The 21507-nt window shown below is 42.0% G+C and overlaps 1 long non-coding RNA gene and 2 other non-coding genes across 3 annotated transcripts, besides 2 other annotated features; all 3 read left to right on the top strand.

Moving 5' to 3' along the window:
• Positions 15854-17580, top strand: SNHG5 (small nucleolar RNA host gene 5). Its single transcript, NR_003038.2, has 6 exons — positions 15854-15893; positions 16399-16451; positions 16555-16633; positions 16712-16792; positions 17095-17163; positions 17396-17580. It is a non-coding gene; the product is annotated as a small nucleolar RNA host gene 5 (long non-coding RNA).
• Positions 15884-16043: an enhancer, noted in NCBI's record as "active region_24791". NCBI's record gives its function as "activates an Ori minimal core promoter by ATAC-STARR-seq in GM12878 lymphoblastoid cells {active_cell/tissue: GM12878}" and the evidence as "EXISTENCE:reporter gene assay evidence [ECO:0000049][PMID:35858748]".
• Positions 16214-16273: an enhancer, noted in NCBI's record as "active region_24790". NCBI's record gives its function as "activates an Ori minimal core promoter by ATAC-STARR-seq in GM12878 lymphoblastoid cells {active_cell/tissue: GM12878}" and the evidence as "EXISTENCE:reporter gene assay evidence [ECO:0000049][PMID:35858748]".
• On the top strand, positions 16928-16998 carry SNORD50B (small nucleolar RNA, C/D box 50B). The gene has a single exon (NR_003044.3). It is a non-coding gene; the product is annotated as a small nucleolar RNA, C/D box 50B (small nucleolar RNA).
• SNORD50A (small nucleolar RNA, C/D box 50A) lies at positions 17219-17293 on the top strand. Its single transcript, NR_002743.2, has one exon. It is a non-coding gene; the product is annotated as a small nucleolar RNA, C/D box 50A (small nucleolar RNA).
• Positions 17581-21507: the final 3927 nt, after the last annotated feature.

Below are 21507 nucleotides of genomic sequence, written 5' to 3'. Positions count from 1 at the left end.
GGGGTGAAAGGGTCAATGTAACATCATTTGCAAACCTTATTTCAGGGATTTAAAATTCTAGGATGTATGTCACAGAAGTTAGAAACAACATCTAACAGCAATTGTATAAAATTTACCAACAAGTTATAGAATTCAACAAGGTATAAAATTGGATTACTATAAGCATTCTCAGCCAGTTTCTAAGCAAGCATTTGCTTGCAGCCGTTCTAATCAGTGCTTAAGAATGATCTGAACATTTTATTTAACACTGCCTATAATTGACTTGTGAGAAGCTGCAGTAGAATGGACAGATGTAAGGTGCTACCCAAGGACATACTGAAAGATAGCTTTCCTTCAGACAATGTTGCATAACACTGGAGGATGGGGTTAAAAATATATGTATCAACCATGAGGTCAAGCTGGTATACAGAAACCGAAAAGATTAACTCAAATTGGCCAAGGTGACAAGACAAGAATATTCTTTATTATGTATATGAGTGCATGTATGCTTTTAAGGGTACTTAAAACTAGTTCATCAGGTAAATATTAGTTAGATTCCCAACAGAAAACATGGATAATTTGAGAAAAGTTCAATAAAGAGGCTATTTACAAGGTGAGTAAGGTGTAGGGAAAAAAGAGAATAGTATCTCTGTTAGCCTTTACTTTCTGTCTTAAAGAAATATTTAGTAATAGTATCCTGGGCCTCGGTGAGCTTTACTTCTGGGCCTGAAGGTGCAAGGGAAAGGGGGAAAGGTATGAGATGGCCACCTTGACAGAAACTTCCCTTCAATGGATGTCAACAGCAACTCCCTCCTCCCTCTAATCTCCTGCTGCGGCTCCCTATTAGCCCAAACCAATGGGAAGCCAGAGGACAAGGGAACTCATTAGTGCTGTTCATCTAGGTCAGCTTCCTGTAGCATAAAACACTGTGGAAAATGTTGAGGAGTTGATCTTGAATGAGAAATGTAAGATAATTAGCATAGCTGATTTTTTTTTTCTTGTATGGGGTAAAGTGGGATTAATTTATCCCTTTGCACCACGGATGAGCTTCAAGGGGTCTAAGAATTAGTAGAAACAGATTGTCAGAGACTGTTATAGTAATGGCTCTGATGCATTATACCTTTCAGTATTCACACCATTCAGTATCCATATCCTGTGTATCCCTCTTCCATACTGACTGATTTCTGGGGGAACCTGATTTCTACTAAGGAATGGCTAAATGCCAGTGCCACAGGAATCAATCAAGTTCAAATGCTATGCCTACAACCTTGTTCTCTCCACCTCACAGCTCAGCTGTTCTCTCTTCCTCTCAGAGTGTTGACTTAATTCTCAAATGGAATAGATTCTTCTCTCATGGTTACAAGAAGGTTGCAGCACTCTCAGATTTCACATCCTCCATGTTTAATGCACAATAGGAAAAAGAAAGTTTCTTTTTTCCAATAATTAGGCAAAAATGTCCAGTCTAACTCTCACAGTGAGTTGTGTTCATCACAGCAGACCAATTACTGTAGCCAAGTGGTGGGGTTTGTTGAGTGGTTAAGTCAATCAGGGCCTACCTGAGGGATTAGGGTAAGTAGATCCAAATAATATAAGCTGAGAATAAATGAAGGGTAAATCCACACTAAAAAAAAAAAAAAAATGAGACAATTTGAAAGAAGGGAGAATCACTGTGTAAGCTAGGTGACCAAAAATGATGAATTTCTACTACAAATCCCAAATTTGTTCACCCTTCACCTTTCTTCCAAATTCCAGGCTTGTATATTCAACGGCATATTTGGTATTTAATATTGGATATCTCCAGACATTTCAAACTTTAAATGTCCCAAAATGAATCACCCACGGAACTCAGATCTGGAGGTGGAGAAGTGCTTCTTTTGCTTTTTATTGTGGCTCCCAAACCTTATCCTAACTCTCCTCCTATAAAGCCCCATAATCTTTTATGCAGACCAGGATATTTTAGCACTAGCTTCTTCTCATTGCTGTCATCTGCCAACTCCCTAGGCTATAATCTTCACAGTGCTGATGACTCTAGCACCTGTCTTATAGTCTACTTGTACCAATACTCCTATCAACATAAGTATGTTGTCAACATTCAGTGATGATCCACCTAACAACTTGACTCTCAGTTTCTCAACCTCCAATGATTCTTCCTTCCAATGATCGATTTACCACTCTATCTCAACCATCCACTCACTCCCATGGTAATACTTTGATTCTTGTCTTTAACAACTATACTACCTCCAAAATCCCAAATTCCAGAACCTTATTCTCTAGCCCGCCCATGTCCTATCACTTCTAGTCTTTGCACAGAAGCTCTTCTTTGATCTTAATAAAATTTTCAGTCCAGGAACACCATCCCTTTTTCACTATAAAGCATTCCCTTACCCACCTTATATTTTTGTTCACCGCTAAAATCATTTCCTTGCAAAAGCCGTTAACTCCTCCAGCCCTTTCTTTCTTCCTTTTCTTACCTGACAAAGCTTTGACCCTAATTAATCCCACATACTCCACACCTGCACCCAAGTGTCTGAATACCTCTAGAAAAAGAAAGCTTACAATTTTACTCACATTACATTTATGGCCATAAATCTCATGGGCACTCCAGACTGCCCGTCAATCCTACTTTACTTCCCTAGTCTGCCTGCTTTTCTCTTCTGCATAATAACAATTTCACATTTCTTTTCTCTTTCCTTTCTTTTGCCAACTTTCCTTTCTCAGTTGATGACCTTGCCTCATAATCATTTAAGAAAATACAAATGATTGAGGACCTCTATTTTCTGTACTTATAAATCCTGCTATCAAGCAACACTTGTTGCCTACCATCAGGAGCAGCAGCATCAGGATGTCAACCCACTATGTGATTTGCAGGTATTGGAGTCACTAAGAAAGACATGACTCACACAGGCACTGAAAGGAACAATGCTTTACTCACCTAGAGAAGAGAGCAAGATGAGTTTCAATAGTGTGCATTGGTCCGCCATGGCAGCAGGTCTTGCCTGACAGCTGACATAGGGTAATAGTCTTCACACATCCCTCTTGTGCTACAGGCAAAGGACCCTGTTCCCTTCTCACTGGGAACAGATAGAGCAGTAGGGCTGGCCAGGTGTCATATAATGTACATTCTTTAAGTAGGATAAAGAAGTACAGATGACACCCAGAATAGGGAAAGATACTCCCAAATAAGGAGATATGCCCAGCATAGGTCCTAGGGCCCCTTATCTCCATATAAAAATATCTTCCAGACCTGAGGCATACTTTCATGCAGCCATGCAAGGGTCAACAGGCTGTGCACAACTGTCTTTCCCAACAGTCCAACCCCTAATCCATACTTGGATGCTGACATAGCAGGTAACGCACATCAAATTTGGTAGGACCACTAACCTGGCCAGGATTTGGAGGTGAAGTTGGTTCTTGTGGGGCCTCTGGACAACTCATTATGGGTGTAGTTTATCTCAGAGACTCCCTGTCATTTTGAGACAGCATTCCATCTGGGTTACTACAGAAACAGGCACTTGGGCTTAACCAGGCACTTACCCAGGAACCCCAAGTGCCTGGATCAAGCCAAATAAAGAGATTAAAACGAGTCCAAGGAAACTGTGAGTGTATAGATGTTAACTGTCTTCCTGAGTGTGGATCTTCTCCAGCTCAGTTTTTACCCTCCCTGAATTATTGATACATACACAGCAAGACGTGTTGGCAATAACATAAAAACACCCTATTCTGCCAGCAAATAATCAAGGATATTCAGTTGCCCATCACCACCTTGGCTAGTGAATTCAGTGAGTTTTGTTGGTCTTGGATGGCTTGGAGAAGGTTCGAGTCACTGTGCACTGGCCAGGCCACTACAATGGGAGTGTGGGATGAAAGGGATTTCATCGTGGGGTGGCAAATCCTGCATACTTTGAGCTCACCACTTCTCACCACAACTGTGCTGATTCTCATCAGTGTTGTCATGCCAGGCAAAGCAGGAATGAGAAGAGGAAAGATTAATATTCCTAACCCATCCCCTCTGCATAAACCTCCTGAGGCCAAAGACACTCTTTTTCAATGACCTGGGATGACACTTACTCAAATATAGCTACCAAGGCTCTTTGTGTCCTGAGGCTACAATTTTCATGAGGATCCACTATCCCATTGCTTAACCCTAACCTTTCAGCCCTAATCATCCAACTCAGGGAAGAAGGTCACATCCTGAACAAATTTGACATGCCCTAAAATACTGTCCACCTATATGGAGGAATTGGGAGTTCCAAACACAACCAGGGGAATCCTAGTGTCCTGACAGTCTATCACTCCTTCCCTCATCTCCACAGAATCCACAAGAGGGAGGCACCTGAAGGTAGCATTGCCTTCAGGTCTGAATCAGAGACCCTACTGGTGGTGCCACTGCAACACAGACCACAAACCACCCCTGAGTAGTGTGTTCCAGTGGGAAAAAAGAAAAAGAATGGTTGGGTATACTGAGATTGGGATTTCAGAGGCACAGCCTAATCAGGCATCTGCCTAGTTCTCCACCCACTCCAAACTCAGTATTTTCTGAGACAGGGTCTCACTCTGTCACCAAGGCTGGAGTGCAGTGGCATGATCATGGCTCACTGCAGCCTCCACCTCCTGGGTTCAAGCGATCCTCCCCCTCAGCCTCCTGAGTAGTTGGAACCACAGGTGTTAGCAACTGCATCTGACCTCAGTATTTTCTAATATGCATTGAAGTGCCATGTTTCATTGGCATTATTTGAGTCACCCACGTTATCATTTTACTATCCTACATTTTGCTTGAGAGTGATAGGGAGCATAAAAGGTTCATCTCTCCTTTCTAGTTTGCAAACTGTTACCACAGTTTTTGTTTCCACATAGGGGAGCCTTTTGTGGTCTAATTCTTCATCCATTAGGCACTGGACTCTATGATTAGCCCATTTGTGAGGCCCATGAGTCTGCAAATACATAGGAGGGATTTGCTGTTGGAATGGCCTGTACAGACATCATTGTTGTATAAAGTTCAACCCATTAGACAGTGTTCTTATCTGGTCTCAGAAGGTGGCCATCCTTGAGGCAGATAGCCACAGTGTCCCATTGGACTTCAGTTTCAAGGATCTATCTGTGAACCAAGCCATACCATCTGCTGGAACATCTTTTAACTGTGAGACCCATTTAGTTAAGATTGGGAAGGAAGGATCCCCTTTGGGTCATTAGTCTCCTCCAGCAAAATAGATATTTGTTTATGGAGTTGATTAACCCTTTGGGCCCCCAATCAGGCTCCCTCTTAGATATATCATTTTTATCTAATGACAGAGCTTTGCTGAGCTTGTTTTATTAACAGAATTAGTGAGTACCCATATAAGGATGGGCAGCTTAGGTTTTAAGGTCACATACAGCACTTCAATGGTCAGATTATTTGTTTCCATCAGGTCCCAAAAGCAGGCTAATAGATGCCATTTAAAGGGGGTGTAACTGGCTGCCTCAGGTAATTTATAAGTTTAAAACCCAAGAGATCAATACATCCAAGTAACAGTATCTTGTTATCACAGGTTCAATCTCAGTAGGAGTAAGTGAGATCTGTAGTTCTGACAGGCTTCCTTGGCCCTACTGGCAGGACCCATATCATTGCATGTTGTATGACCTTTAGAGCCTGTTGTTATTGGGGGCTCTAAAGCCACCTTTAAATGATCCACGGATCATTTAAAGGTGGCCACTTTTTGAGTAATCTTGATTAAAGGGACCAAAAGAATACCCAGACATGGTACATGCTGTTTCTAATATCCAAACAGGCCCATTAGCTTTTGAGCTCCTTTCTTATTTATGAGTGCTATCAAGGACAGTAATTTTTTTTTTTACTTAAAAAGAATACTCTGATTACCAGCCAGGTGGCTCCTAGGAACTCCAATTGTTGAGCCTTGGACTTGAGGGCTCAGTCTACATGCCATGGTGTCTATGAGCTTAGGTAGGGCCTGGTCAACCTGTTTGTTTCAGTCAGGCCAGCAATGAAGATGTCATTATCACAGTGAATGACAAATATATCTGAGGGTAACTGTGCTTGTTACAGATCTAGCCCTACCTATTGGTGGCATTTTGCAGGAAAATTGATGTATCCCTGTGGAACTACAGTGAAAGTGTATTGTAGGTCATTTATGTGAATACAAATTGGTCCTGATATTTATCCTACAAAGGAATCCAGAAGGCGGCCTTGGCCAGATCAATAATGTGTTGGTCTCTGTGTAGGCCACCATTGCCTAAGTGATAGTAATGATGTCAGGTAACACAGGAGCCAAGGGTGGCACCTAAGCATATAATCTTTGGTAGTCTACTGTCAACCTCCAGGATCCTGAGGCCTTTTGTACAGTCCAGACTTGGCTGTTACAGTGAAATAAAGTGATGCATAACTTCTGCCTGCAGCAAGTTTTATATCAACAGGGTCATGTCCCTTCATTTACCTGTTATGTAGTACTGTTTTTGTAGAATAACCTGCTGGGGCTTGGATAACTTTGGTTGTAGGTGGGAGCTGACATATCTCACTGTTATGGCTTAAATCCTTTGTTGTGAGGGAGCATATCTCCTGAAGTGGCAGCGATGCTGCAAGTAACCAAAACGTCAATACCTGTAATACATTGTGCCCAAAATGGCCCAAAGGGCCCTACCCAAAAGCATATGAATCTGTCTCCATCAGTTTACCCTTACTCCTTCAGAGTCCCAGGATTATTGCCATCTGGGAAAAGTTTGGATTTGCAGCCAGGTGTGGTGGTTCAGGTCTGTAATCCCAGCACTTTAGGAGGCCGAGGCAGGTGCATCACCTGAGGTCAAGAGTTCAAGACCAGCCTGACCAATATGGTGAAACCCTGTCTCTACTAAAAATATAAAAATTAGCCGGGCATGGTGGCATGCACCTGTAGTCCCAGCTACTCAGGAGGCTGAGACAGGAGAATTGCTTGAACCGGGAGGCAGAGGTTGCAGTGAGCAGAGATCGCACCACTGCACTCCAGCCTGAGTGACAGAGCAAGACTCCATATCAAAAAAAAAAGTTTAGATTTGCTTTTTATTTTTTATTTTTTTTAATCTTGGCAGGAGCATAGGGCTCTGGTCCCCAGTGGGGACCTAGAGACCTTAGTTTTATCCCCCTTAGTTCTATTTTTGTTGAAAAAATTAAGGTCAGGGTCAGGTGCAATGGCTCACTCCTGTAATCCCAGCACTTTGGGAGGCCAAGGTGGGTGGATCACTTGAGGTCAGGAGTTCAAGACAAGGCTGGCCAGCATGGTGAAACCCCAACTCTACTAAAAATACAAAATCAGCCAGGCATGGTGGCGGGCACCTGTAATCCCAGCTACTTGGGAGGCTGAGGCAGGAGAATCTCTTGAACCTGGGAGGTGGAGGTTGCAGTGAGCCAATATCATGCCACTGCACTTCAGCCTGGGTGACACAGGGAGACTCCATCTCAAAAAGTTAATTAATTAATTAAGGTCAGGGTATAGGTGAGTACAATCATACCTACTCCCTGTCTGACTCACTCTATTCACTGTCAACATTGTCTTCCTGATTGTCCTGTTCAGGGCACAGAGAAGTCATAGTCCCCATATTCAGGGACTTGACACTATACAGGATTCTAAATCTTTTCAATCTCATGAGCCCACACTTTTGTTTTTATGGCTAAGATTAGGATCCTAACCTCTAATTTAGTGACACTTCTCTCCGCCTGATAGCATTGGCCAAGATCTTCTACAGGGATCCCATCAATCTTTCTTTCATCTATCCCCCGGGCTTTTTTTTTGTTTTGAGATGGAGTTTCACTCAGGTTGGAGTGCAATGCCGCAATCTCGTTTCACTCCAACCTCCACCTCCCAGGTGCAAGTGATTCTCCTGCCTCAGCCTCTGGAGTTGCTGGGATTACAGGCATGCGCCACCACACCCGGCTAATTTTGTATGTTTAGTAAAGATGGGGTTTTGCCATGTTGGTCGGGCTGGTCTCGAACTCCTGACCTCAGATGATCCGCCCATCTCGGTCTCCTAAAGTGCTGGGATTACAGGCATGAGCCACCGCTCCCAGCCTTGTCTATCCCTCGTTTTAACAATGAAAGCCATATTATTCTGTGGGTCAGCCCTGTTCTCTCTGTTTTTTCCCTTTGACATCCATTGGTTTCCTCTTTTGGTCCTCTGGACATTGCTTCCTATTGTTGAGAACTCCATTCAGCTCAAGTTGTTGGAAACCACCGAAACCATTTTGTTTTTATCCCAAAGCTGGACACTCAGTGGAGTTTTTCCATTGCTTCCCCATGATCATTTCAGGAAACAACAGTAGGGATAATGGGGTCTTCAGGTTTGGGGAGACCTCTGTCACATGAAGGCTTCCACTGCATCATCCATATGCTGGGAGCAGGGTCACACAGTCAGGTATGACTTTTTCCTTAAGAGTGATTTTGGCTTTATGGATGGCTTTCGAGTGGATTTTAGGAAGTCCCCCACAGTTGGGAAGACCATTATCAAGATCTTTTCAACCTAGATCAAGAGCAGCTAGGACTCATCTCTATCCCTGTCCTGTTGGTTGTCCTGTTCAATGTAAGCAAAATAATGTTGCAGCAGGGGGTCAGTGGTTAGCTTACCTATACTGAGCCACTCAGTATGAGACACTAAAGCGTACAACACCACCTCATCAAACAAGTAACTACCAAAGCCACCTAGGACTCCCCTGGCCTCTGCCCATGTCTGTTTTTCAGTCTTATTTCATTTTCAAGGAAGGTACTCATTTTAAGTTTCATTTTCAGCAACACCATCGATGATTACGTGATACTGAAAACAGGTCTTACTTGGGACTTGTAAGTGACCAGAGCAGGAGGAGTTTCCTGTGTGGGGGCCTTTGATTCCCCTCAGGCATTTTCTGCAACCCCTGGGACACAGTGAGAGTCGGCAGATGGTTTGGGAGTGTAAAGTTGGCTAGCCAGAGCCAAGGTATAGTTATCCTATATTTTTCATAGGGCCCACCTCTTGCATTTCTACCCTCATCCATTGTACCAGTTTATTCTTGTTAACAGGGAGAATGTCAACTCCCATGTACCCCCCCATGCAACCAGAGGGAAGCCAGCAGCTCAGTCAGCCCATCATCCCCTCAGGGAGCTGGCACCATCCTGAGATGGCTGGACTGGCAGACCCTGCTTGCTGTGCCAAATTGTCGAGCAAGTAACACCTGTTGTCTACCGTAAGGAGGAGCAGTCCGAGGATGTCATCCCACTGCATGGTTTGCAGGTGACAGGATCACCAGGAAAGACAATTCACAGAGGTACTGGATAGAACAACACTTTACTCACATAGAGAAGAGACAGAGCAAGATTAGCTTCGATTTGAGTATGGTACCCCGCAGTGGGTCTTGCCAGGCAGCTGACACAGCATAATGGTCTCTATGCATCCTACCTGGGCTGTGGGCAAAGAAACCCCTTCCTTTCCAACTAGGAATAGGTAATAGTACTGGGATTGGCCAGGTGCTGTGTGCTGCACATACTTTAAGCAGAACAAAGAACAAAGAAGTACACATCAAGCCCGGAACATGGAAAGATACTACCAAATAAGGTGACATGTCCAACTCAGGATGTAAGGACTCCTTATCTCAACGAAAAAAAGTCTTCTAGGCCCATGTCACAAGGCACACTCATGTGGCCATGCATGGGTGGACAGGCTGCACATGATAGCCTTTCCCAATACCTGCCTTCTCTTTCAACAAATGAAACAGATGAAGTGTCCCTATTCCAATCAAAGATCTCCATTTGTATTCTGGAAAGGATCTCCTCTTGGCTTCTCAAGGGCTTGGCTCCTATAACTTTTGCCTCTTTGTCCTGCATCATAAATACTGTCCCTCTATTAAATAACTCCCATGAACATATATACTCTAGTATTTCCTATTTACAAAGGAGTGCCTTGTCCTTACATCCCTCTCTACCTAGTGACCTATTTCTGCCTTCTTACCTCAATCTCTTCAAGTAGACTTCCATCATCATGATTCCACTGAGACTGTGTTTACAAGATCACCAGTGATCTTCATGTTGCCAAATCCAGTGGTCATTTCTGTTCTTACTTGATCTTTCAGAAACATTGAACCCAATTCACCTACCTCTTCCTAAAATTTTTTACTTCATTTGTGAGGTATCATATTCTCCAGTTTTCCCAAGGCGTCTCCTTTGTTTGCTCTTCCTTTTCTACTAGAACTCTAAACTTTGCAGTGTTTCAGTGTCCTGTCCTGGGCTTCTTCCTCTTCTGTATTTATATTTTCTCTGATGATCTCACTCATGTCAGGCTTTAAATTCCTTATTCATGCCAATGACACTCAAGCCCTGACCTCTCTTCTGAACTTCAGACTCAAGAACCAACCTGCCTCCTTAATGTTTCCACATACACAAGATATTTTCCCTAATTTAACTCTTTAACTTTACTATTTCTTGGAGTATTCGTAAGATTTACAGTTGGCTGTCCTACCATGGAACCTAGAATTTACTGGCCAGATCAGATATTGGGGAAAAATTTAAAAAGAATATTAGACTAAGAGATACAATTCCTTTGTTTCTCAATTGTCATATAATTTGTTAATTCTTTTTTAAGGCTATTTTTCTGTTTTGGAATAAGGTAATTATGCCTGCAATACTTAACTTCTTATACATGTTTCTCCCATGATTTAACCAAAATCTTTGTGTACTTTTTTCTTATAATTTTGTAACCAGATCTTTATATTGACTATCTTTTTAAGGCTGTCTACTGTAAGCTACTTGCACACACTATAGTACTAATTCTAATTCTAGGCCACCACCATTGGCTCTTTTTTCCTTTTCTCTCCACACTCATCTGTTCACATAGCTTCAATCATCCCTTCTACATTAGTGTTTGCCAATGGTCCTCCTCTAGTGCTGATTCTTCTCTGCCTTCAGGTCCACATTTCTGATGGTCCATTGGACAACCATAACCAACCAATGTTCCACCCAAAAATTAACACAACCAAAATGGAATTATCTTATTTTCCTTGCTCCCAAACCAGTAACTAGCTGCCATTCTCTAAGCCACCTGGGCTCCACTCCACTTCCTCTCTTCTCCTCTCTTCTTCACTCCTCTCTTCTCTCTTCCTCTCATCATCACATCCTTCATTTCTTACTTCAGCACAGCTACATAATGCCGTGGTGACATGATTATGCATTTAAGGTCAGAAACACTTGGGAACATTAGTTAACTGAGATCTCCATGCCTCACTTTGCTCATTTCTAATATAAAGTTAAAAATACACACCAGAATTGTCTTGAAGAGTACATGATCTAACACATACAAGAACCTAACAGCATATAACAAGTGCTCACCATATGTTGTACCCTTCCCTACCTTGCATTTTCATGGTCAAAATTATAATGGTGTCCCTCACAATATCTCATTTCTAAACTTTGTAAAAAGTTGGGTGGACACTTTTACTTTTTACTAAACTACAAATTCCTTCAAGGTTGATTTTTGTATATTCACATTAGATTTATCTGAAGCACAGTGCATGCACCAGGGGTTCAGTGAACATTTCTTCAAAAAAATGACTGAAGTGATTATCTTATCAGGAAGTTTGTTATAGAATATAAGAATTTATTTTCAGTATAATGAAGACTTCCAAGACACTTTTAATTTCAGTATTGATATTTATTAAGCCACTTCAAATATTTGGTAGTAATTCGCTTGACTGTTTTAGGTATGGGAGCAATAACTGATGGCTTCATCCCTCAGTTCATCTTTGTTTCCTGAAGAGATAAACATCTTAAAGGAGTTGTGTACTGACTTTATAGTCATTGACCACGTTCACAGGAAGGCACTGTTGTCAATTATCAGGCTCTGAGTTAATTTCATTTTTGCATTGCCCTTGTTACAGTTATTAGTTTTTGAATCAAAAGTAATTCGGGGCTCAGCAAGATGGCCCATGTCTGTAATCCCAACACTTTGGGAGGTCCAGGTGGAAGGATTGCTTGAGGCCAGGAGTTTGAGACCAGCCTGGTCAACAGAGCAAGACCCTGTTTCAACCAAAAAAAAAAAAAATTGGTCAGGTGTGGTAGTACACACCTGTAGTCCCAGCTACTTGGGAGGCTGAGGCAGAAGGATCACTTGAGCTAAGGAGTTCCAGGCTGCAGTGAGCTGTGATCACACTACTACACTCCAGCCTGAGTGAGCAAGACCCTGTCCGTATAAAAAAGAATAATAATAACATGGAAGGTTTTTTTTAAAAAAGGATTGGACTGTATATCACATATGTAGTACCTCTCTTACCCTAAGACTGTGGTTCTCAAACATCTATATGAATCACCCTACACGTGTGCTGTCCAATGCAGCGGCCAGCCACATGTGACAACTGAGCACTTGAAAAGTACAGACCACGCATGCACGTAAATGTTCATTGCAGCACTATCCACAATAGCAAAGATATGAAATCAACCTAAATGCCCATCAATGACAGATTGAATAAAGAAAATGTGGTACATATATACCATGGAATACTATACAGCCATAAAAAAGAATGAGATCATGTCTTTTGCAGGAACATGGATGGACCTGCAGCCATCATCCTTAGCAAACTAATCCAGGAATAGAAAACCAAATACTGCGTGTTCTCACTTATAAGTGGGAGCTAAATGATGGGAACTCATGAATACAAAAAAGGGAACTACAGACACTAGGGCCTCCTTGAGGGTGGAGGGTTGGAGGATGGAAGGGAGCAGAAAAAATAACTACTGGGTACTAGGCATAATACGTGGGTGACAAAATAATCTGTATAAAAAAATCCCTGTGATACGAGTTTACCTATATATAGCAAACCTGTGCATGTGTCCGCGAACCTAAAAGTTAAAAAGTAATAAATGTACAGACCAAATTGAGATGTAAGTAAAAAATACACACCTGATTTCATTTACTGCATACAAAAAACAAATGGAAAATATTTCAATGATTTTTACATTGTTTCTATGTCAAAATAAAAAACTTTGATTATATTTGGGTTAAATAAAATAGATTAGAACTAATTTCATTTTTCTTTCCTTTTTTCTTTTTTTTTTTTTTTTGAGACAGGGTCTGGCTCTGTTACCAAGGCTGGAAGGCAGAGGCACAATCTCAGTGCACAAGCTCACTGCAACCTCTGCCTCCTGGGCTCAAGCTATGTTCTCACCTCAGCCACCACACCCGGCTAATTTTTTATTTTTGATTTTTTTTTTTGTAGAGACAGAGTTTTGCCATGTTGCCCAGGCTGGTCCCAAATTCCTGAGCTCAAGCAATCCACCCGTTTTGGCTTCCCAAAGTGCTGGGCTTACAGGCATGAACCACCACGCCCGGCCCATCTGATCCTTTTTACATTTTAAAAATGTGTGGCCTGGCGTGGTGGTTCACGCCTGTAATCTCAACACTTTGGGAGGCCGAGGCGGGCGGACTACGAGGTCAGGATATCGAGACCATCCTGGTTAACATGGTGAAACCCCGACTCTACTAAAAATGCAAAAAAAAAAAATTAGCCGGGCGTGGTGGCGGGCGCCTGTAGTCCCAGTTACTCAGGAGGCTGAGGCAGGAGAATGGCGTGAACCCGGGAGGCAGAGCTTGCAGTGAACCGAAATCGAGCCACTGCACTCCAGCCTGGGTGACAGAGTGAGACTCTCAAAAAAAAAAAAAAAAAAAAAAATATATATATATATATATATGGCTACTAGTACATTTTTAATTACGTGTGTAGCTTGCATTTGTGGTTCATATTATATTCCAATTGGACAGTATTGCCTCTAATGCTTGTTTAAAATGTGGATTTTTGGGTCCCACTTTTGAACATTATGCTTTCAAGGTTCCAGGTTCGGGCCCAGAAATTTGATATTTTTTAACTTACCAGATTTTAACTGGTAAGTCAGGGTAAGGAATCACTGTTTTATATGGCTTTTGACCAGGTGATGTTTGTGGTCTTCAGAATGGCAGAAACTCTATCTCTACGAAAAATACAGAAAAATTACAGGGCGTGATGGCGCGTGCTTGTAGTCCCACATGGTTGGTGGGCTGAGGCAGAAGGATCACTTGATCCCGAGATTGCAGTGAACAGAGATAGAGCCACTGCACTCCAGCCTGGGTCACAAAGTGAGACCTTGTCTGGAAAAAAAAAGTCATCTATATGTACTGATATGGAAAGATGTTTATGATATTTACAAGACGGACAAACAAGTTGCAGAACATATAGATCCCATTTGTATGTGAAAAACGAAGTACATATATTTGCATTTGCATAGGAAGTCTCAAAAACTGTTAACAGTGGTATTGCTGAAGAGTACAACTAGGGAGAAGATTCCCAGGCATGTGGAAAGATACTTTCACTTTGCTTTTTTTGTTAACTCTTTTTAAAAATTTTTTTAATACAATAGAGACAGGGTCTTGGGCTCAATCCTCCCACCTCAGCCTCCAAAAGTGCTCTAATTACAGACATAAGCCACCACACCCGGCCTACTTTGCTTCTTATATCCTTTTGTACTGTATTGTTTGTTTTACTATTTACTATGAGCAATATGCAAATTTATGTAAGACATTACAAAGTAATACAAAAACCGACAAAATGCCCGGCCCAGTCAATACTTCATCATATAGGTTCCTGTTAGAGAAAAGTGCTTTTCACTACTATCTTTGAATGTGAAGTTTGATCTTCATTCTAATTTTCTAAAAAGCCACCGAATGTATTTGTTCATTCATTCATTCATTTAACCATTACCGACAACCTACTTAATGCTAGGCACTGTTCTAAGAAAAAATAAACAGCAGAGCACGAAATCAGATGTGTTGCTCCCACACTCTAGCAGAATCGGACCGTAATCAAATGCACACATAAACAACTTTAATAAGTAGTGCTTTGAAATATAGAAGTGAAGAACGACCTGAATTTTCAAATACTGAAATGTTCAAATGTCGTGTGCACACACACACACGCAGACATATTCACTCGAACATGCTAATTAATCAAAGCACTGCTTTTGAATTTTGTGTTTGTCGTCTGGATAAAGTATTCAGGGATACTTCTCAAATTAATCTTTCTCTCGTTTTCAATATAACTAATTGAGTACAAAGAAGTTAAAAATTAGCAAAGCATTTCAGCTGTGTGACCTTAGGCAAATTACCTGGCTGTTTTAAGCCTCAGTTTTCTCCTCTGCGAAATGGAGTATTGAACCTCACGTTCGCTGTTTGAGGGAGACTTGTATGGTCACGTTTAGTGTAACCGGATGCCTGGCACGAGGAAGCGTGAGGAGGAATGGATCCCCATGGGGCCTTGATGCCCGCCCTGAGGCCCTGCAGGGCCGCACGCCGGGGCTGTTCTCACGTGGCGCTTTCCGCTTTTTCACCCAAGCGTTTCTGCCAGCCAACTGCCCTTTCCCGGAGTGCTGCGGCCAGGGCTCGCCCGCTCCTCCGGCGGCCTCCGCTGGGGGCCCACTACAGCCCAGCGCCAGCCAGCCAGCCAGCCCAGCTTCTCGAATCGGTCCTAAGCTGAGGCCGCCCTGCGCTGCAAAACTTGTGTCCACTCTCGGACCCAATCTGTCCTGGACGGACTTGGCTCGTGGCAGGCGAAAGCGTCGTTTCCAACTGCAGCTGTTTGAATTCTGGCGCCACACCCGCGCCACGTAGGGCCAAGTCGGCCGCCAGACTCGTAAGAGACGCTTCGCAGTGCGCCTGCGGGCGCGCGCCGGGAAATGGCCGGGCGCGCGGCCGGCCTGCGGCGCGCTCCACAACGCGGAACGGGCCTCAGAAGAGCCACCGCGCGCGCTCCCGCTAATTCGCGACCACACCCCTGTCTACTTCCATGTCCAATAGGTGCGAGAGGGCGGGACGGCCTCGTTCTGACTCCGGGAGGCTATATAAGGAGCTACTGGCTGCGCACTTCGGTCTTTTACGTCGGCCTTCGCGAGCGTCTGGGCGGGTGGTAGGTGAGTGGGTATTGCGGGCTAGTATCCGAGCAAAAGATGGTGGCGCAGGCCGAGTTAAGAGCTTTAATCCTGTGAAGACATCTTAGTGAAGAGTTTAGAGTGCTGAGAGTTGAAAGCTTGCACGTGGGAAACGTGCGGCCGGACTGCCACATGTACTGAGGTTGAGTCGTGACGGCCACAGGCTCCGAGTTTTGGCGTGAGGAACCGCTGATCGGCCACGGGCGCCGAACTTGCTGGCCTCCGGCATGTGCCTGAGCGGCGGCGGAAAAACCACCTTAATTGGGGCGGAGGGTTAGTTTTAACAGCAAAGGGCCTTTACTAAAATGGCGAAGGCCTTCCGTCGGCGTTGTTTTAAAATGGGAAGCCTCGACCCTGTATTGAAACTGAGCTGTTCGAAGGCGGCGTTGTGTGCAATTCGGATTAATGAAGGGGAAGGGTTTTGTGTGGAAAAACGCCTTGGAGTGTGACATTTCTGCGAGAATGCTTAAATACCGATTTCCCGCAGGAACAATGGCGCTGTCTTCAGTGGCACAGTGGAGCAGCTCTGAAGATGCAAAGGTAAGAGCTTAGTTAAGCTTAGTTTCCAAACTAAAGGAGTAAACCTGTTGATTTACAGGAATAGGAACTGTTGCATCGTTTGAAATTTACTTTTTTTTGTTAGATACACGAAAAAACTTCCAGAACATCTGGGAGAATATTTAATGGAAAATCGCTTGGTTAAAACCTGACACTTTTAACAGGTATGTGTTGTTTTAGTACTTTATGATTGAGCATAGCATTTAATCCACACCTAGACTAAATCAAATTTTTTTTGTCAGTGAACAGCGTTCTGAGTGTGGACGAGTAGCCAGTGAAGATAATGAATGTCGAATGTGACTGACTAGCAGCTTCATTTTGAAGTAGGTTGTATGGCTTAAAAGTTCTGTAGTATTTGTACTATAATACTTGCCTTTTAGCATTACCTTGGTTTGTAGTCAGTGTCACAGAAGTGCAGTTTAATGTATTATGTGTACATATACAAGGTCTGATTGGTCTAATCAATGATGAAACCTATCCCGAAGCTGATAACCTGAAGAAAAATAAGTACGGATTCGGCTTCTGAGATTAAGACCAGTAATTCAGAGGTGGAGTAAATTTTGTTGCCGTGATTTTATAACAGTTGTGTTATAAAATCCTGGGTTTTTTTTTTTTCTGCCAACAGTGAGGGTCGCTGTCTGCCCATTGATAGAGGCCAGATTGTCTTGGAAGTTCCAAAGTTGCAACGATTTCTGTAAGTGGAGTTTTTCTGTTTGCTTAGAGATCAGTGAATATTGTGTCCTTGGTCTTATCTGTGATGATCTTATCCCGAACCTGAACTTCTGTTGAAAAAAAAAAACTTTTACGGATCTGGCTTCTGAGATGGACCGTTATAAGGACAATATTTTTTTTTAATACTTTTAATGCTTTTACATATGTTGTAATGTTTGTAGTCTTGTAAGAATCTCGTGTTTTTCCTTTTCTAGGGCTAGTGCCACGAGGTTTACTTGACTGTTGTGTGAAAAGCTGATAAGAAAACCATCCAGAAAAAAGCTCTTCGTTTTACAAACATGAAAATAAAACATGTAATTTTGGATTATGTTCCTTTTTGTTATTACTTTTAAATAGGTCCTGAAATAACATGGGGAGCATTAAATGGAAAATCCACTAACCAGCCTTGTAATCAAATTACTGTGAGTGAATGTTTCGGGTTTGTGCAGGGTACAATGTAAGGGTTTTTGGATCAGTGTAAGAGTGGAGAGACAGGAATTAGAAGTAATTGTTACTAAGCAAATCATGGAATATTTAGTTTTGATGTAACTATAATTTTGAAAGCCTGGATGCTTAAGTTGAGAAATGGGGGAATGAGATACAGAAAATAAGGAGCACAATAGAATAATAATAGCAGTTTATTAAGTATGGTCATGAGGGAAGGTTACTGATAAAACAATCTGGTAAAGACATTCAGGCTTGCTAAAATCTAGGAAGAGGTCATTTGGCAGGATGGGTTACATAATGCTATCTGATACTACCAAATAAAATGAGAGAGAAGCCTTAGGCATGTAACGTTTGGAGATAGAAAATGTACCTTCACTATGAAGGTAGTGTGTGTAAGATGGCAGTTGAAAGCATTGCTTGTGTTTATGTTTATACCCTTGATCTCTGATGCCCTTACCTACCGTACTTAAAACTCTGTTAATCATTGTCTTTCTCCCCCTCCCACAACTTCTGCATAAAATTTTAAGATCTGTGTTTCATTAGTTCAAGAGTGCCTAGAATAGGGCCAGGCACTGTTATACAGTATGTGGTAAAAGACTATTGAGATTCCAGTTTTCAAGGAAGAGTGCCATTACCGTTTTGTTAAAGCTGGCAAACAAGACAAAGTTGTGAAATAGACTGGTTGCTTTGGAGCCCTCTGACCGCTTTTCCTGTAGCTCCTTCTACCTCCCTTGCCTCCCAATAGATTTTTTAATATGTCACATTATCTATCGAAATTAGTACTCCACATTTATATGCACTGGCTTGTGCTAGGCTCTGCCAAGACTCCTGAAATAAAACCGTTTTGTCAACAGTGGCACAAGATGCCAAGGAAAAGTCAAGCTATGAAGGATTCTTGAAAATAGAACAAGTGGATTTGAGTCTAAACCAGCACAGATGTTGGGACAATAGGCCTAAGAAATAACTGAGCAAAGACAGTATGGTTCAGAGTCTGAGACAAATATTGAGGATTTGGGTACCAACAGGGTGGATAGGTGTAGGACAGAAAACTGATGTTATAAATACCCTTAAGATTCTTGAGCAAGGAAGTTACAAATGTAAGACTATTCCTGTAATGAGAGTCAGATCCAAAAAGGTTTAATTTGAATGGAATTGAACTTGAAAGTTCAGTTTCAATTACTGACTCCTTGATGGCAATTTCTAATCACACAGGAGGCTGTTAGTCTGTCATAGCCTCCTAAAATCTCAGGCGATATTGGTTAAGATCAGTTTCCTAAGTTTACCCTCCAGAGCATAGCTGCTGCTTGGGACCAGGTGCAGTGACTCATGCCTGTAATCCCAGCACTCTGCTTGAGCCCAGGAAGAGACCAGCCTGGAAACAGCAAGTTGTCATCTCTATAAATAAGTAAAACTGGGTGTGGTAACATGCGCTTGTTCCAGCTACTCGGGAGGCTGAGATAGGAGGATCACTTGAACCTAGGAGGTTGAAGCTACAATCAGCCATGATTGCACCTCTGTCTTCTATCCTGGGCAACAGACCAGGCTAAAAAAAAAAAAAATCCTTAAGGAGCTTGACTATAATAGACTGGGATATGCTTGATTCTGATTGGTTTCAGAAGTTGAAAGATAATTTACGTGTCTGACTTTAGTGACTTCAGCCAACAGGAATTTTTCCTCTGCCTTACACCAGGCTTCCAGGTAATCTTAAAATACAGTAAGCTCAAACCTACCATTTGGTGCTTTCTAAAATTAGTTCTATTGCCAGAAACCCAATATCCACTGTGCTTGGCTCCCCAGTCAAGTGTCCTGTGAACTAACATCAATCCTCACTGCCCTGTGTATATGAAAGAGCTTTCAGCTGTTTTCATGGTTTTTCTAACAGTTCCCCAGTTGGGATTAGAGCCTTTGTTTGAATCAGCCTACTAGAATAACCTGCTTATCTTTTGCCAGTCCTTTAATAGGAGTGGGACCCTCCTTCCTGCCTTTTCAAAAGCTTGGTTCTGGATCCAAACAATACTTATAGTACTTAGTTATAGGTATATATTAGTATACATGACTTAACTGTCTGAATATTGCCACTGCCTCTGATCTTACTCCATCCTGTAGAGTAACATCTTGTAGAGAGCATCTTGGGGCAGAAGAGGATACATTTTCAGTATGAGAACCAGACTCCTTGTCTTACTCTCATGAGTCCTGGTCTCCTCCTGGTACTACTATTCCACTGCTGAGGTCTCAGCATGCCATATAGCTGAGTTTGTCAGAGTTAATGAGGGTTTAATCAGAATCCCAAATCAAGTACAGTCCAGTCCAACCTATTTGAGAACTTTATCTTTCTTGTTACTTCATTTATTATAGTTCACTTCAAAAGAGCAATGGAAAAGGCACTTCAGAATATGCAAAAAATGTATCATTTGAAGGCAATAATTTACAAATATGCATTACTTCACTGAGATCAGGAAACTTTTGTCCTTGCCTCCTGTAGTGAATATAACTGATGTACAAAAATGTGTACATTTAAAAAGTATACAATTTGATGGGTTTTTCATAGGAATATACTCATGAAACCATCAACATAATCAAGATAATGACTATATCCATCACTCCCAAAAATATTCTATTGTTGGCTTGATTTTGAACATGTTAAGTTTAAATAGCACATGTTATTCAAATTGGGATTTTTGAGTAGGCAGTTAGATATAGAGGTCCACAGTTCAGAGGAGAGGTCTGACTAAAATAAAATTGGGAGTTAACATATGGAAGGCATATTTAAAGCCATAAGATTAGATGAGATCACCAATAGAGAAAAAAGTCCAAGAGTTGAACCCTGTGGCCTTTCAGGATTAGGACATTCCAGGTTTATTCAAATCCTAGAGAATAATTTGTGCCAAGGGACAAAAATCAGGACGCAGGAATCTGCTGCCAAGTTCAAGGGCCATATTTGTTAGGAACAGAAACTAAGTAGAAAACCAAGGATGCCTGGAATGAAATGAGCCAAGAAAAAAGGATAAGAACCAAGCAAAACTTGCTGGAAATTGCCTTGGATTTAATATAGACCATTGGTCAACATGAAAACTGAAGATAGTGTCTGATCATGACTTTGCAAAGTAACAGACGAAGTGATCTTCAGGAGAGAATAAGATGAGGAATTTAGGAAGTATGATAAGGCTTTTTCATCAGACACTGCAGATTGGGAGAAAATGGAGCTGACCATGGACAAGTTATAAATTTGCCTAGCATTGATAAAGTATCAGCTGAGGCTGAAAACCACCAATTTTAACAAAAATCAGCATATTTCTTCAGTATTGTGTGGTGCTTATCTCCTTGGGAGCAGAAAGCAGAGACTGGATTAATCCAAAATCAGGGATAAACTGACCAGGAGGAGCAGAGGAATAATGGGCCAAGAGTACTGAGGATGCAAGTAAAAGTGCTCAAATTACTGTATTGACCTTGTAATCCCAAGCTGATCGGGGAAGGAAAAAAAAAAAACAGGAGAGGGCTGGAAAATTGTCACAGGTAATGACAGAGGATCAGATGTGCTATAGAAATGTGCTGTTGAAAATGGTAGACTAAGCCCCTCTCCAATTATACTGTGGAATGAGCCGTATAACATGTTGTGATTATTGGTTTCTCCCTTCTGGACCTGGAGTGTCAGTTCTTCTAAAGCAGAGACTTCCCTTTAATCTCTGTTTAAACTTGGTGCCTAGGACAATGTAATGGCATCCATAAAATATCTAATGGAATGGAGTTTAACATGTTTTTTAGGGTGGAACTGGTGGTGTGATTTAAATTCTCCAAAAGAGAAATGAGAAAAGTTGGAAGCTGTTGTGGCCTGACTTTATACCCCCAAAATTCATATTTTGAATACCCCAAAAAGAAGTAT

The sequence above is a fragment of the Homo sapiens genome, chromosome 6, assembly GCF_000001405.40.
Source record: "Homo sapiens chromosome 6, GRCh38.p14 Primary Assembly".
Classification (NCBI taxonomy): Eukaryota; Metazoa; Chordata; class Mammalia; order Primates; family Hominidae; genus Homo; species Homo sapiens.
The sequence above is the reverse complement of the archived record's forward strand: the minus strand, read 5'-3'. Positions and strand labels throughout refer to the sequence as shown.